Raw genomic sequence first — 18,289 nt, 5'->3', positions numbered from 1 at the left:
ACTCCTCTGTAGCAGCTCATTGAATCTTTGTTGAATGACTAAATGGGTTTTCCTGGATTGGGCTCTAAGTTCCTCAAAGGCATATTTATAGCTTATTTATCTTTGTACTCCCATTTCCCAACATAAAACCTGTCACATAGTAAGTTCTCAATAAAAGCAAAATAAATTAAATGAAGTCACTAAAAACACTGCATGAATGTTGAATGAATGAAATGAAGATGTTTTATATACATACACACACACATACACACACATATATGGCATGCTTATAAGTCTCTTCCTTTTAGGCTTTGAAGTTAGAAAGAAATACGAGAAATACGTACAGAAAGGAAAAATCTGTTCTTAATAAACCACAATATTGAATTTTTGCCCAGAGTGTCAGTAGATGTGGAGTGAGGAAGTGATCTGGAAGGTCAGGGAGCCTGTCTCAGCCCTTTCCTAGTCACCAGCATCATCTCAGAATGTTCCTGGAACAATTTGCCAATCTCTCTTTGAAATTGGAAATTGATTAATTCCTTATTTCTAGTATAAAAAAGGAATCTGAACTCTAGAGAAGGACATCATTATGTTCATATATCTTAAAACACCATGAACACAAAAACACATGACTGACTTCTTGACTGTATCCATATCACTCGGCCACTTTAACTTCTATGAGAATCACTTAGTTGCTACTAACTTCAATTGTTGTTCATTTAAACCCCTCTTATATTTAGATACACTTTTGATGTACTCAGATTTGTGGTATGAAAAAGTAGGTTTAATGACTGTGGCAGAGACTAGAGAGGTGGTTGCCAACCCTGTTTCCCTTTTCTGGGCACACAGCTAGATCAGATTTTCTAGCTGTAGTCTAAAGATAATTAGGTCATATGATAGTTTCGGAGCAAAGAATATGATTAGAGCTGTCAGGTGTAACTTCTCAACTAACACAAGAGCCTCACTATATTCTCTCTCTCACTTCTTTTTCTATGGGGATCATAGAGGCCAAGTGACAATGATGTTAGTTCTATCAGATAGAATAGGTTTGGGTCCCAATTTGAGGGAACAGAAATTACAGCCTACAAGCCTTGGACTATGACACACCAGCAAGAAAACAAATTATTTTAAGTCTCTGATATTTTGGTATTATTTGTTATGTCAGTTTTGTGATACTTGTTTTTACTAATACAACGGCCTTAACAGAATTGCTTAGGTTGATTCAATTTAATGTCAGGAATTATATATCTTTTTATTTCAGTCTGTATTAAAAATCAATTGGAAGTTCCAATGCACATGTCTTCCTATCATGAATAATAGTAACATAATAAATGTCTTGGAATGTAATAAAATTATGTACTTTCAAAAATTTAATATTTTAAATATTTTTTATGTTTATAAATATATATGCAATTTTAGATTAAGTATGCATGGGATCCTGATTATTTTTAAATTATTAAGATAACTCATTTACTGGCTGGACCAGGAGATGCAGGGATATTAGGATTTTTTAACTTTAGTAGTATAGTAAAGTCAGACAGGAAATGCGATCTTAGTGTAATAGAGCTCCTAAAGTGTTGTCGTAGCCCATGCTACATCCTCTTACTGATGTCAACAACGTGATAAATGCTCATGATTGTAGGTCACTCTGTAGGTCACCCATGCACTTCTGTTCTCCATTAATGAGTTCTAAGATTACCTGGAATCAGTTGTTTTTATTCTCAAACCTGCTTGTGATAGTTTTATTTGCCATTATATTTATATAGTAAGATTGAAAGTTATCTAAGTGATAAAATATGAATGAAAAAGAATTATTGTTTAAATGAAAACTAGATAAAGGCAAGCTACTAAAAATAAATTTCAGTTAAATGGAGTAGGAGCAATACAAATACAAAAGATTGTGGGTGCAGGGAAGATGTATCAGTTCTCTTTTGCTGAGTAACTAACCAACAAAAATAGTTATGGCTTAAAACAATAGCAATTTATTTTCTTGATTATTCTGCAAATCAGTAATTTGGGTTGTGCTAAACAGCAATTCTTTCTGGGTCAGATTTGGCTGATCTTAGGTGGGAGGGCTTGCTAATATGTCTACAAAAAGCTAGTGGGTTGGCTGAGATCATATGGTCTCTCTCAACATGATCTTTTATCCTCCACAGGCTAGCCCAAGTTTTCACATGAGAGGTTTCAGAGTTCTAATAGCAAGAATGCAAGCCCTAATCCACTAGCGCATTTCAAGCCTATCAATATGATGTTTGCAGCTAATTGCACCATTAACCAAAGAAAATCATATGATATAGGCCTGTTGTCAGTATGAGAGAGGACTACCAAAAGGCGTGAATATTGAGAAATGAGAACAATTTGGGTAACAACTACAATCTGCCCACCAAAAAAGGACAACCAAGTAGTTCTTCACTTGAGTGACTTAACAAGTGTCTTTAATTTCTTGTTTCTTTTTAGAAAACCAAAAAAGCCCCAACCCTGAATATCATAGATTATATGAATTAGTTTGTGCCATATATATATATATATATATATATATATATATATATATAAAATTTCTTACTCAAAGCTGCTGATCCTGATTATGCAAAGCTTGTCTGCCATATTTATACTCTTGATGTACCATGGCAAAATTTCTGTAAACAGGGTTGAATAAATAGATGACAGAGAATACCTTATGTACCATTACACAAGTGAAAGGCGTACTTCAGACTTGGAATATACATTCACCAAATGTGAAAGACAATGGTTTACAAAGCTTACTATACAATGTAACCTTACCAAAATGATTTCTTTTATATTTTCTGTATTTAATTTTAAAAATTATGATAGTAATGTATGGTTGTTGAAACAATTGCTATAATATATAAGCATATTCAACACAAATTATCCCTTCTACCACCTTCATATTTACAGATATATTGAAATATTCCCAGTTGCTTTTTATTAAAATATAATACCATACATATTAGCCTACAAATTACTTTTTATACTTGGAAATATATCATAGATATTCCTATAAGTTTGTATCAGGAAACTGTGACTTTTTTCTAAAGTTTTATACTTATACTTACATTTTATATAAATGGTATCATATCCATGCTGGGTATTTTGTTTATTTCATTTCTATTTTTTATTGTGGTAAAATATATATAACATTAAATTTACTATTAGCTATTTTTAAATATTTAAATTTTTTAATTATCATGAATACATGATAGTTGTATATACTCGTGTTACATGTGATATTTTGATACAAGCATATAATGTGTAATGATCAAATCAGGTTGTTTGGGATATCTATCACCTCAAGCATTTATAATTTCTTTGTGTTAGGATCATTCCAGTCCCATCCTTTTAGTTATTTTGAAATATACAATAAATTATTGTTAATCATAGTTGCCCTATTGTGCTACCAAGCACTAAATCTTATTCCTTCTATCTAACTGTGTTTTTGTACCAATTAACCATCCATTCTATATTCCACCCCCCACTACTCTTCCCAACTGTTGGTAAACATTATTTCACTCTCTATTTCCATGTGTTCTTTATTTAGCTATCACATATGGGTGAGAACATGCAATATTTGTCTTCCTGTGCCTGGCTTATTTCACTTAACATAATGTCCTTCGGTTCCACATATGTTGTTGAAAATGACAGGATTTCATTCTTTTTCAGGTTGAATAATATTCCTGTGTATATGTACCACATTTTCTTTATGATGGACTCTTAAGATTGATTCCACATTTTGGCTATTGTGAATAGTGCTGCAATAAACATGGGAGTGCAAATGTCTCTTCAATATAGATTTCCTTTCTTTTGAATACACGCCCAGCACTGGGATGGCTGGATCATATGGTAGTTATATTTTTAGCTTTTGAGGAACCCCTAAACTATTCTTTATAATGGCTGAACAAACAATCCTGAGAAAACTGAACAAAGCTGTAGGTATTATATTACCAGACTTCAAATTATACTACAAAGCTAGAGTAACCAACACAGCATGTACTGCCAAACACACACACACACACACACACACACACACACACACACACACCAAGGGAACAGAATAGATAATCCAGAAATAAACTCATGCTTTTACAGTCATCTCATTTTTGACAAAGGCACCAATAACATACATTGGGGAAAAGGTAATCTCTTTAATAAATGCTGCTGGAGAAACTGGATACTCATACGCAGAATACAACTAGACCCCATCTCTCACTGTATACAAACAAATAAAATCAAAATGGACTAAAGACTTAAATTTAAAACCAGAAACTATAAAACTAGATATAAAACCACTAGGAGAAAACATTGGCAAAACTCTCTAGGACATTTGTATGGGCAACAATTTCTTTTACTAAGACTTCACAGCAACCAAAGCACATATGGACAAATGGGATCACATCAAGCTAAAAAGCTTCTGCACAGCAAAGGGAACAATCAACAAAATGAAGAGACAACCCACAGAATGGGAGAAAAGATTTGCAAACTACCCTTCTGACAAGGGATTAATAACCAGGATATATAAGGAAGCTAAACAACTTGATAGGAAAAAATAATCTAATTTGAAAATGGGCAAACAATCTGAACAAATATTTCTTAAAAGAAGACATACAAAGACCATAAGGTACATGAAAAAATGCTTAACATCAGTAATCGTCAGAGAACTGCAAATCAAAACTATAGTGAGATACTGTTTCATCCCATTTAAAATGGGTTATTCTATTTCCGAAAAAAAAAATCATTGGAATTTTGATAGAAATTGCACTAAACCTGTAGATTACTTTGGGTAGTATTGACATCTTGCCAATACTAATTATGTCTTTCAATCCATGACCATCGGCTTTCTTTCCATTTACTTATGTTTACTCTAATTTCTTTCCAAAATGTTTTGTCGTCTTCATTGTAAAAGTTACTCACTTCCTTGGTTAATTTAATTACTAAGTATTTTATACTTTTTGATGCTTTTGTAAATGGAATTGCTTTCTTCATTTTCTTTTTGGATTTTTCAGTATTATTGTATAGAAAGAAATTAACTTTTGTCTGTTAGCTTTGTATACTGCACATTGCCGAATTCACTTGTTAGTCTTAACATTATTGTGTATGCATGTGTATGTATATGGGTGTGTGTGTGATCTCTAGGATTTTTCACATACAAGTTTATATTATCTGTAAAGGAAAATAATTTTATTGCCTTCTTGCCAAGCTAGATATATTTTATTTCTTTTTATGGCCTAATTGCTCTGGCTAGGACTTCCAGTGCTATGTTGAACAGAGGTAGCGAAAGTGGGCCTATGTGCCTTGTTTCTGATCTTAGAGTACAGCTTTCAATCTTTCAGCATTGAGTATGATGTTTTCATTGCTGAGAGTTGTAATTGATTTTTTTTATCTTTCTCACTGGTTTCAAGATGTTCTCCTTGTCTTTTAGGTTTTGAAGTTTTACCAAAATGTGTCTTATGTAAATTTTAAAATTTATGTTGCTTGCCATATAATATTTCCTACATCTATGGACTCATATACTTAATCACTTATGGATAATTCTTGGCTTTTAAACATTCAAATATTGGCTATTTTTGATATCTCTAGTCTGTCTTTCTGGGACTCACAGTGGGTATATTTTAGATTTTTTTAAATATCTAAAATATTTTTATATTTTTCAATTCCTAATCTAACTACATCAGATTAATATTATCAGATTGTCTTCATTTCACTAATTATTTCTTTATTTCTCATCTTTACTTTGATTAACTCACCAAGTTTTTAACTTTAATCATAGATAAATAGGTAGAGGTAGATATTCATTGCATATATTTATTATATTACATATATAGCCATATATATCATGTAATGTATATTCCTAAGTATATTTTCAAATTCTAATTAGCTCATTTCCAGATATATCTAATATTTTGTCAGTTTTTTGATAGCTACCATTTTTTATGACTCCATCACTTGTTAATATTTTATACATAGTTATTTCATTTTTGTATTTGAAAATTTTAATAGTTTCATTGGTAGCTTTGGTTTGTCTTGTTCCATGTTGAATATAAGGCATCTGTGTATTTGTTTATTTTCATTCACTAGGATACAGGTGGATGTGTACATTGAGTTTTAACTCCAAAAGAAGTGCTCATAGATGTTATCGGAGTGCTTTAACCTGTGGGCCACACAGAAACATTGCTAGAGCTGTTTATCTTCCTGGTTACCAATTGAAGATCTATTTAGTAAAGAAGAAAAGATTGGGCTGGATTTGGGATTAGAATAGAGGCAAGGCATCCTTCCAGAATCTCTGAAATATAATAATTTGTCTAAAATGGCTTTTAAAGTCATTTACACCAGGTATAATGAATAAACATCATGAAGTAATAAAATACAAAGGAGAAATAAATATCTAAAAAATACTAAAAAAAGTGATACAAGTATTATAAGTAATATAAATTTTAAGCAATGAAATACTACTTTGTCTATAAAGCTAATACATTTTCGAAAGCTATAACATTCCTAGTGGTTATCAAAAACAGTGGGGAAGACTTACATAATGATATAAGATGCCCAAGATATTACATGAACTGAGCAAAGTACAGAGAAGTTTGTATCATAAGAACATACTTGTATAAGTTTTGAAAAGGGATCTCCATATATATGCAGATATGTTCTTTTTTTTTCTGAAGGATATTTAAGAAACTGTTAACAGTGATTACTATGGGGATGAAGAAATAGTGATGAGGAAATGATAAAAGGGAGATATTTTCTTTTTATGTATACATTTTCTAGTGTGCATAAATTTTGTTTGATGCTATATTTTGCATTTTAACTAAACTAATTTTTAAGAAAAAATAGAAAAAATACAAATAAACAACATGGGAACCAAAAGTCTATAACCATAGTTATGAAGGTTTTCTTCTAATTACAAGAAAGTATTGTATATTTTCCTACCTTTAAGCTTAAAAAATGTTTTAATAACTCATATATTATAATATTTAATGTTGGTAGAGGTGCTGTCTCTGCTGGTGGAAATAAAGACTTTTATCCACTTCCCTGAAGTTCAATTTATGATATGTAGTAAGAACATTAACAGTGTTCCTGAGCATCTAATTAATGGAAATAGTCATAAATTCATATAAATATTATGTCAAATGAAATATACATTTTAAAGCTATTTATATATAATAAACGGCAGATATGACCAAAAAGTTTAAACTAAGGAGGTGGTTAAACTACCAATGCTATCTCTAAATAATAACACAGTATGAAATTATAGCTTTTTCTAAGACCCTTTAAGGACATGGTAAAACATTCAGTATTTAACGCTAACTGACAAAATATCCAGCATGGAGGTTTTTGTATTTTTTTTTTTTTTTTCAGACAGAGTGTCGCCCTGTCACCCAGGCTGGAGTGCAATGGCGTGATCCTGGCTAACTGCAACCTCTGCCTGCCAGATTCTCCTGCTTCAGCATCCCGAGTTGCTGGGATTACAGGTGCATGTCACCACGCCCAACTAATTTTTTGTGTCTTTAGTAGAGACGGGGTTTCACCATGTTGGGCCAGGCTGGTCTCAAACTCCTGACCTCGTGATCCACCCGCCTGGGCCTCCCAAAGTGCTGGGATTACAGGTGTGAGCCACTGCGCCTGGCCCAGGATGGAGTTTTACATACCCTATAACACTAATTTTAATTTAACATGTAAAACAAAGTATGGAAGAAAATATATTCAATAATAATAGTAATTTTCTCTATGTCTATATGCTTATTCATTTCTATTTGGGTTTTGTTTTTGTTTCTTTTAAACTAGTTTTTCACATTTCACATTTTTAATAATGAATTTCTTTTATAATTAAAAAATTTAATAGTTAAAATAATCTAAGATCTAAATAATATGTATCATGTGTCCACACACACAAGTTAAGTTGGACATTTCACTGTTGCTTTCCATGTGGTACAGAATGTTTTTTGCAATGTTATAAACTACTGCTAAGCAATTTTCTCACCATTAGTTTAACTACGGTTACAATTGTTTGTGTCTGTAGCAATTCAATATAAATAGTTTTACAAAAATTGCAGGAAAATACCCCATAAGAATAGTGGTAGAAATGCTATTAAGATGTTGAATTATGTGTATTTTCTCTATTTAAAAAATCTTATTGTATGTTGCCATAGCATTTATAACGTCATATTTTATTAGAATAGAAAAATGATAGTATTCTAAAAGGTAAATAGCACTTAACCCAAAGATAATGTTTATAAGAAATTTTCTATGCTAACAAAATTTAGAATTTAACACTAGAAGTCTAGAATCAAACTAATATAATAAATTATCCTATCTTTATTAATAAATGTCTTGTTAATAAATTCAAATTTTTAATGTTGCTCCAATGTGAAGTACTGTCTCTATGGCAGTTCCAGTAGTACTAAGGATTAGCCTTTTAAAAATATTTATAAAATAGCCTACATCTTTAGGAGTCTCATAGCTCAGAGGAGAGGGACAGACAAATTGAAAAATGATTACCACCTAGTATGATCAAACACAAATATATCCTAACTAGAGAGGCAACAAAGAGAGTGCAGGGAAATTTTGAGGGGAGAAGAAGAGCTATTAAATAATTACTTTCAGGGGGCTGCAGTTAGGGTGGGACTGGAAGTTGCTTTTTGTTAAAGCTGCAATTGATATCAGTGTTTGGGTGGTATTTGCTGGACAGTCATTATTTCCAGAACTAGACCTCAAAATAAAAAAAGAGTTTGAAAAACAACAGAATTTTCTCATCTTTCTTAATTCCACTAATATGGCTAAGCACTTATTTTGAAAGAGATACAGAAACATGAGTCACCTGGAATAGGATCCACAGAGTGGACATACCCTCAATGCCCCTTTGCATTTCTTTCTCTGTTCTAACTTAGAAAAAAAAGAAAGAAAGAAAGAAAGAAAGAAAAAGAAAGACCTCAAAATTCTATGATAAGCCACATTTAAACAGTGTCAACTTCAGAAGACATCAGGAGGAAGCTGTGTGTCTCTCTTTTCCTAAACTGGAGGAAACTCACAGGACCCATGACTCATCTCAGACAGTGAAAGCTTCCTGGCAAGCATGCTTGCATTAGAACATGGGAGTGAGAGATGTTGGGATCCCTTGGCTTCCCTTCCCCTCAGTGACAAGCTATCCTCTTGAACTTACTGCATTCAAAGATGTTCTTTCTTATCGTTCATAGAAAATTTTACAACAGCCAAAGAGAAAATGTCTTAGACTCCACATTCATCAATAGTTTGCTTACATGGAAAATTGTATTTTATGAAAGGTGACTCATGTGTTTATGCAAGCATATCTAAGTATTCGTACTGTCCAATGTGGCAGTTAATGATAAATCCTTTGAACAAATGTGTTTTTGCATTTCTACACATGTAACACATAGAGTTGCAACTGAACTAATAATTTACATTTTCAGATGTTTAATCTTTCCTAGCTAATTGACTTCTTGGGCTGGGTCTTGGCTGAAATCTGCAGAGCCAAATTCTCCTACTGCCAAAGCTACTCCCTAGTAGGGTTAGAGACTTTTGGAAGTTGCATTACGATTTCTTCAGGCTTCCAGACTGACTGTTTTGAGAAGGGCTCATAACTACATTAGACAAGGCGATACATCTTTAAATCGGAATATTTTTTGACTTAAAATGAAAACATACATTAAGTTTCTTAAATAATGAACTGAAAATTCTCCTTTAAAAAAGAAGCTTAAAAATTCTTTCTATTCTAATTTGGTTGCTTTGAAATGTAAATACCTTTTTTTTAAAAAAAAACAAGCAAATTCCTTTATAGTACCAAATTACTCACTATGTTCCATGATGACTCATATTAACCCTAGAATCAGGAAAAAGCAATGTAGGATAGTGAAAATATGCATATTTTCATATATTTCTATGTCAAATTCCATTTCTATCACTTACCAACTATGTGTTTTGGGGAAATTTTTTAACCTCTCTGCTTCAACTTCCAAACAAGAAACTAGAAATTATATTTAGTGAGATAATATGTATAAAGAACTTATTTTAAAGCAAATACGTAACAAACAGTAACTATATTGACTTATACTGATAGTTAAAAATGTCATGTTTTAAGCTAATTGGAAAAATCTCAGGTATCAGAAAGCCATTAGGGAATGAGTTGTGTTATAGGGTTCAAACTTTTAAAAAATCATTATTTCAAATATAAATCTTTCTAAAATTGCTTTATATATTTTGTCCCTTCATTAGAATAATCTCATTCATTATAATCTAGTATTTTCTTAATAACTTAAAATTTTAGATTCTGCTATTTTCTAGGCTCTTCTGAGGTTTGCAAGGCGTTGCCCTTGCACTAAGTAACATTACATTGAGATGTAGCATTGTGTTTAACATTATTTTAAAAAATTGTTATTAGTAGTAATGAGACCTGAAAGAGCTATTTTTACTCCTAAAGCAGACAATCTTTCACTGAGAGAATGAAATGGGCATAGGGAAAAGCCTAGATATTACTATATGATGAAATTTAAAAATGTTCCAATTGAAAATATTTTGGGGGAAAGCTGTTCTGTATGTAATGACAGAACAGCTAGAATTTAAAGTTTCCAAAGTTTAAATTACACTCCAATATTTCAATTTAAAGAGAAAGATTATAAGCGAATGGTAATTTCTCTAATTGAGTTACCATAAATATTCCTCCAACAATGACAATATTTTACATTAATGTGCATGTTTATAAACAATACACTAAGTTCTTATTCTATTTAGCCCTATCAAGTTTCTATCTGAAAAATATTTTCTCACATTTTCTACGCAACCATTCCTTAAGATTACATAGAATGATGTACTTAGAGTTTAAAGACAGAGCAAAAAAACTTTTTGATTTTTCTGTTTTGCTTTTCTAAATTTCTTACCAAGAAATTTCTTATGATGAGAATCTGACCTAATACAATTATTTCCAAAAGGAGAAATTTTCTCTACATTTTCCAGTGATTTAATCAGAGTACATTGGCATATTCACTACTGCAAAAGCCAAGAAATCCTATATGGATTATCTCAGTGCCATAGAAATGAAAAACTAGAAGGTATTCAGACCATTATTTAGAGTGATTTACTTACTCAGTATGATCATATTTTCCAACTTCAAGCTTAGTTAAAAGCAACTTAATTTCAACATTTTACTGAAATACAAAGCCAGATTTTCTCACTGGCCAAAAGACATGGCCAGCTGGAATTATAGAGCCCATAGAGGACACTTTAATACCATTCGACCACAGAAATTTTGTTTAGAAAGTTTCCTCATCTACAAAGCTAGCTTTCTCAGGACCTTTCTTCTAATAAAGAAATAGATGAATCTAAGTTAGTATTGAAACATACACTAGACAAAGAACATTCCAATCACCCTGAGAAATAGAACTAAATTCACCCCTTCTCCTGGGGAAGATAAAATGTCAGTGTTTGAACTCAGGAAGTTATAGAAGCTTCCAGTGATATCATGGATTAACTTGCTTTGTGGCTTTGCTTTGAGCCTAAAGTCTTTGCTACTGGCCTAGGAATAAGTCCTGAGCCCCTTTAGCCACCACCTGGGTAAGGACAACAGTGAGTACCTGCATTAGTCAGGGTCCAATCACAAGACAGGAACTATGTGGAAATTTGAACAGAGGAAGTTTAATATAAAAATTACTAGCTATAACAGAGCGTTAAAGTAGTAAGGGATTGGCTAATAAGAGGTAAAGAGTGTGCTACAGAACACAGGTGTAGAAGAGCTAAGGAGCAACCACTATCCTCAGGGCTGAAAGAGAGAACCCTACCAAGAGCCTCTCACTCATTGCCCCAGGGCTGAGATCCAGACCTTGGTGGAGGGCATGGTTATGGATGGCAGAGAAGTTCTGCCACGCATACTCATCTATCCTCTAGGGTGCTGGGCAAAGGTGGTTTGCCTGAGACACTGTGCTACAAAATCACTTGCTGCTGAGTACTGAGGATAGCTGTGCAAGTGCTGGGGAAGTTGTCATACTCAAGGAGCCTGGTGCTGGGGACGCTGTGCACTGCAGGAGCCTGGTGCTGGGGAAACTGTGCATACTCAGGAGCCTGTTGCTGGAGAATACATGCACTGCAGAAGCCAGGCACTAAGGAAGCTGTGTGTCCTGCATGACCTAGGCATGCTGCAGGAGTCTGCTGAGAGAGCACACTAGAACTAGAAAAGACTATTGCTTCCTCCTAGAAGGACTTTTCCATGTCTCCTACTGACAAAAACTTAACATCATGCCAGACAGCAGGGGGAGTAATTATTTAAAAGGCTTACTTATATTTTTGCAAAGCAGATAACAAAGGGTAAATCTGAAGCTGACAGGTAATAAATTGATAACTGACAAAGAACCTCAGAGACGAAGCACCTTCTAATGTTATGCTGAGAGCCAGGTCACTGTCACCATGGGTGTGAGACCCTTTCTATATCCTGGGTGAAGCCTCAGTAGTTGATGCTCTGTGACTGCCCTCTTCCCCATGTGCCACTGAGTTATTCTTATGTTCCTAGGCTTCTCCTTTCCTCCTTTTACAAAAATGCTCGAACCTCTATCAGGAATAATGTGTTCAATGTCTGCCACTGTAAAAACAAAACAAAACAAAAAAACTTTTTTCTGTCTGGATTTATTTCAATCAAGTGAGAAACAGTGTACATGTATCATGCGCCTATTATGTGTCAGGCACTCTCAAAGGTACTTCTCTGTCTTGTTTTATCTTTAAAGAATGTAGGTATTTCAACCCCATTTAATAGAGGTTCATTAACATGGTTCAGATTAATCAGCTATTAACTATATGCTTAATGTTTTATGTGAATTTAATTATCCACTTATAAACTATGTAAATTTTGGAAAGTTAATTAAGCCTTTGATGCCTCAGTTTCCTTGTTTGTATAGTAGAGATAAGGGTAATATTGACCTCATACAGTTGTTGCAAGGATTAAATTAGATAATGGTCCAAAGTTCTCAAAACTATGCATTGCACATTATATGAGCTCAGTAAACACAAGGAAGTATAGTATTAGTGGTGGTGGTGATATAAGTTGCAGTAGTATTCAGGCCCAGATCTACAGACCTCTGAAGCTCATGATCCTTTTCTCATGCATTACTGCTAACCATTTTTTCCTTTTTTACACAATCAGTTTCTACAGAGTGTAGCTCTAATTCTAGAGGTCTGAAGCACATAAAGGACTCAGTGGATGGATGTTATGAGAAAACTGCGTTAACTCTACTAGGATAAGCATTTCAGAAATAGACATCATAAGAAATTGTCATGTCAATGAAGTTTGTATTCTAATATATCCCTATTCTCTCCTCTCATCTCCAATACATGCTCTCCATCTTTAAACCAGCTCTCAGGCTCTCGTTAGGCTGTGGGTCTCATGCCTGGTAAGAGCCAAGCTTATAATCTTATCTTGGATCCAGGAACAGTGAGATTAAAACCTATAGTAAATAAAAGATGTTCTGAGAAGCCCACTGCCTTTCCAGTAACAATGGGACAGTTCAAACCTTTGGCCATATTTGCCTCCTTCTTTCTTTCTTACCCTATACAACAAATAAGTTGAGGTTTCTAGTTTGGCAGTTTATTATTGGCAGGAAGGTTAAGCATAATCCTCAGATCTGCCTTTGGCAGGAATTATCCTGTAAGGTCAATATGAGCAGCTTTCAAAATGGCTGGTTCCAGTAAATCTTGTTACTATTGAAGCTCTAGGTTCAGTGTATCAACTCATAGAGATGTGTCCTATCTCTGCCACTTAGCAGGTATCTAGCCAAAAGGGTTACTTAATCACTCTGAGGCTCATTTGTTTATAATATATGAATAATAATAGTAACTACCTTAAAGGGTTTTGTGGACAAAGATTTATAAACTATTTACATTCACAGATATTTGCAACTGTGCCTAGACCACTGTAAAGTACTCATGATACAGGCCAGCTAGTTATTTTACAAACTATTTTTCTCCTCTGGAATATAAATCTAAACTACCATTCCAAACTTCCTTTATGTGTGGCCAAGGACTGAAAATTCAAAATGGACAGAAGTAACATATAGCACATCCAGGACTGACTTGTGAAAACCTCTTGTGTTATTTTCCATTCTCTTCCTCCATCTGCTAGCTGGATGTAGACATCCAGCAGAGGACGCCAAGGCCCTGGGATTGGTAGACACACAGATGGAAAGATGCTGGGCTCCGAAGCACTGCATGAAGGCTGCCTGCCAAATCCCCACATTGAAAATCATTTGAGTGAGTACATAGAACTCTACTGTATTAAGCTACTTAGGTTTTGGGCTTCTTTCTTAGAGCAATAATCAATGACATTCTGGAAAATGTTTAAGAATCAGCACTCTGAAAAATGATTCCTGATTTGTAGTGTTTGCCAATTTCCATGGTGTAAATACTCCCACCATGGCCAATTTCAAGTTACCAATGTGACATTACTGAATGTGGAGTTGCAAAAAGATGTGCATAATTAGTCCTCATGAGCTAGTGAGCACCAGCTCCAGGACACCATACTCAAAGTAATCATTTCGTGACTAATATTGCACTCAATAAATAGCAATGCTTGTTGCAGAGTTGTTATGTAAGTTAAACTTTAAAATAAATCTTAAGCCAGTAATAACTGATGGAATATAGGGATTTTTGTACTTACTGACCATAAATTGAAGTCTTTGTCTTGTAACCTGAATTCCTACTTCGGCCTGTTGCTGTTGTTTTATGTTTGTTTGCTTGTTTTTCCATATAAGTACTAATAGCATAAAAGAAAGTGAAAGAAAGAATTCAAATTCTGACCAATATATTCTGGCGCCACGGAACACATGGAAGGTAGTTTTCTCATATATATATTTCATGTATATTTCTCCTGAAAATATGCCAAAAATTACCTAACAAGGCAAATCAAATAAATGAACACTCTAAAGTCTTGAGACAACAAGGAAACAATTAGCCTATACTTTGCTGTCCTTCTGGATTAGCCTTTAGAATTTCTTCTTTTGTTTACCCTTCCTTCTGGAATTAAAAATTCATCAAGGATAAATAAGCTTCATCCATAAGGCATTATATCCTCTCTGTTGGTGCACAGGCCCTGGTCAGGTAGTAGATCTCCTTACAAATTTATCTTTTCATGGGTTTAACATAGGAAATGATCTGTTTGAATTAATTTATTTTTTTATAAAATATGGTTTTCAAAATGTTCAAATGCTGGTATTGTTATGTTAAACAGAACACTCTTATCTATTTGCACTTTTATGTTGGAAATGACCTGCATTGGTGTACTTTATTTTTTGGGGAGCCAAAGACAATCCTAAAGAGAAAACTGTATAATTTTTGTTGTATAGTCGTTCAATAAAAATCGCTTGTCATCCAGTAAAGTTTGTGATTTGCCTTGTATTTAAGAAAATAAACAAACCTACAAACATAGCATATTAAAGGGATCTACTCTCTTTTCCACCAACATCACATCATTCGCACAGGCTGTCACTGGGTTCTCCAGAAGGGGTGTGTGAATGTTAAGTGAACATCCAGACTGTTTTTGGGATGAGCCGCACTGAGGTTCTTCTCTGCGTCTGGGTGTCCACAGAGTCCACAAGTGTTTAGAAGAGGAGAGGATGAGCACTTAAAGGAGCGCCTGCAGCAGGCACCATCCCATGTGCAGCCTCAATCATTTCTCATAACTGTCTTATGCAAATGATAGTATTATTGCTATCTTATAAATGAAAGACTGAGATGAGAAAAAAAATAATACATCCCATGGTCGCAGAACTTAAAAGTATTGAGCAGGGATTTCAATGCAATTTTGTTAGATCTAAGGCCCATTCTCTTTATACCATACCACTCTTACATTCTCTAAAGCTAAAAAATCTCAATTAAAAAATGAATTCCAAAGAAAAGAGATGCAAAATTTCCTTTGACCAAGCAATTGTGAGAAAAATAAGTTATATATTTCCATGTAAAGTATAGTGTAGGTGGAAGTATACTTTAATATGCAGAGAGTTTTTCCTTAATAGGTAATTTAGAGAAACAACAAAACATTTAAATTTAAAAAAACACCAAAATTCTGATCAAATTATTTAATTTTAAAACAGATTCTTAGCTTTATAGCATACTCAGGTTTTCTTTAAATAACCAAATCTGTTAGTGTGTTGAAAACATTATTGTTGGCACAACTTTAATTAGTGAAGTTTTAATGAACACCCTTTACATATGCATCCTTGTGCATAAAATCACTTTATTAACTTGAAGAGTGCAAACTAATAGGCAGTTTTAAATGCCATTTATGATCAATTGTAAAAACAGATAAGAAAATGAAAATTCAGAGAGTTTAGGGAGGTTTTTCAGTCACACAGTTAATAAGTACTGGGCTTGGATTAGAAGCCAAATTAATCCAATACCAGAGCCCTTTAGCTTTACCATAGTGCACTTCCCAAACACAACAGCATCATCATTATTTTTATAATATTCTCAATGATAGAACAAGAATATCACCATCTTAACGAGACTGCACCATCTTAAAGTATCAAGTTTCCATTTCTCAGAACTGTCTGTTGACACTTGGCCAAACTGCAAATGTCAACGCTGACCATAGCTTCAACAGAACATAAGGGCCCTAACTGTAACAGAACAGCCAGCACTTTCCCAACCCCTCCCTAACAGAATCTTGCTTCAAAGCACACTTCTCCACCTGGCCCTTTAAAAAAGCCTCAGGCTGTAAGAAAAGTTTGCTCCTGACCCTGCCAGCCAGAAGCCCTTCTCAGATTTACTGTCAATAAACCTGTCTCAACTATAGATCTGCCTTCTTGCCTCTTCTTTCCTTAATCTTTCTATTCCAACACGCAACATACATATTTCCACTGCCCCATTTTAGTAATGGTGCCAGCAATAAACCCTCTGTCTTCATACTCTGGCTGAAGCCAATCTCCTCAAAACAAGAGCGGTAGAAAAGAGTTTCTACCGCTCTTCACCAAGGCCCATCTTTCCTTTACATCCTGCCTCCTCCACAGAACCTTCCTTGAATACATTAAACTACAAGAAACTCTTGTCTCTGGACTGCCTTGGTTTTATTTTACCCAAAATTTAATTTGTCATTCAAATTATTGCTTATATTAGTCATTATTCTATTTTTTTCCATTTTGAATTCTTAACGTGGATTGTATATTTAAATGTGTGCAGGACTGGTCACTGTATGAAATGTTCTACATCTTCTACAAGGAAGCATATAACACGGGGGTGCCGAGAGGGATTGTATTTACTCAGGTGCTCAAAAAACAAATGTTGAATGAATATTATCTAATTATTGGTGAATATTCTGGGTTATGAAATCATCAAGGGCACAACAGTCAATGCATACAGCATTAATTTAGTCACTGGTTCATAACAATAATTGAATTCCAGTGATGTGCCAGCCATTAAGCATAGATGCTGCTATGTATAAGTCATAAGAGGATTGGAGAATTCCAGGCAGTTATACAAGCTAGGCAAAACCCAATGCAGGCCTTAACTAAGGCAGTGTGCGGGAGGGTGGAGAAGAAAGCATAAACATGAAGAATTTCCTAGGCCTAATAACTGATCAGATAGTCAGAGTACAGGGCAGAAAACAGCTTAGGAAAACCCCCAAGTTTGTAGTCTGGGTCTCCAGACTAAACTAAAGTGATGATGAAGTACACGTAAAAAGCAGGGCTAATGGGATTGACCATTAGTTTAATTTAGGAAATACTGAGGATAGGACCCAAGGAATATCCAAATAGACCTAGATAGTCTTGATAATTGTAGAGCTGAACTTCTTTGGAGTGGCAAGCCTGAAATAAAGGTTTGAAGTCATCAATATATAGTTAGCAGTTAAAACTCTACAGGTGGATGAGATTGCACAGAACGAGTATGAAGGACCAAAGAAAAGTGAGTCTGGTAAGGGACTCAAGAGAACACGAATACTTAAGGAACAGGTAAAGAAAGAATTGTCAGAGAAAGAAACTAAGTAGGAACTTTAAAAACAAATAGTGGCAGAAGCAGGAAAAAGATGTCTTCCTCGACATTCATCTTTCTTATTCCACTCAATGGATGTTTAAAATTGTTTGCATTCTTCTCAACAGGGACACTACATTTGTACACCTCTAGGGGGTGCCATTTACATAGGATGCAATGTAAATGGCCCGTTCAGGGAACTGGCAGCTCTATGACCGTATGTTTTCCCCAACCCCTTTACCATTCGACTTCATGCTCATGAACAAGCATTTGTCTTAATTTACAGACATTAAGAACAAGCTTTCCACTCCCACTTCCCTCCCACTATCACCTCAACCTCTTCATC

At 34.2% G+C, this 18,289-nt stretch overlaps 1 long non-coding RNA gene across 1 annotated transcript in view; it reads right to left on the bottom strand.

Annotated features, from left to right (window-relative positions):
* The window catches only part of LOC105373454 (uncharacterized), a 148,852-nt gene that overhangs the window by 112,394 nt on the left and 18,169 nt on the right, over nucleotides 1-18,289 (bottom strand). The gene's annotated exons all lie outside the window — the stretch shown is intronic.

The sequence above is a fragment of the Homo sapiens genome, chromosome 2 (assembly GCF_000001405.40).
Source record: "Homo sapiens chromosome 2, GRCh38.p14 Primary Assembly".
In the NCBI taxonomy this organism is placed as follows: Eukaryota; Metazoa; Chordata; class Mammalia; order Primates; family Hominidae; genus Homo; species Homo sapiens.
Note: the sequence above shows the minus strand (reverse complement) of the source record. Positions and strands in the feature narration are given on the sequence as shown.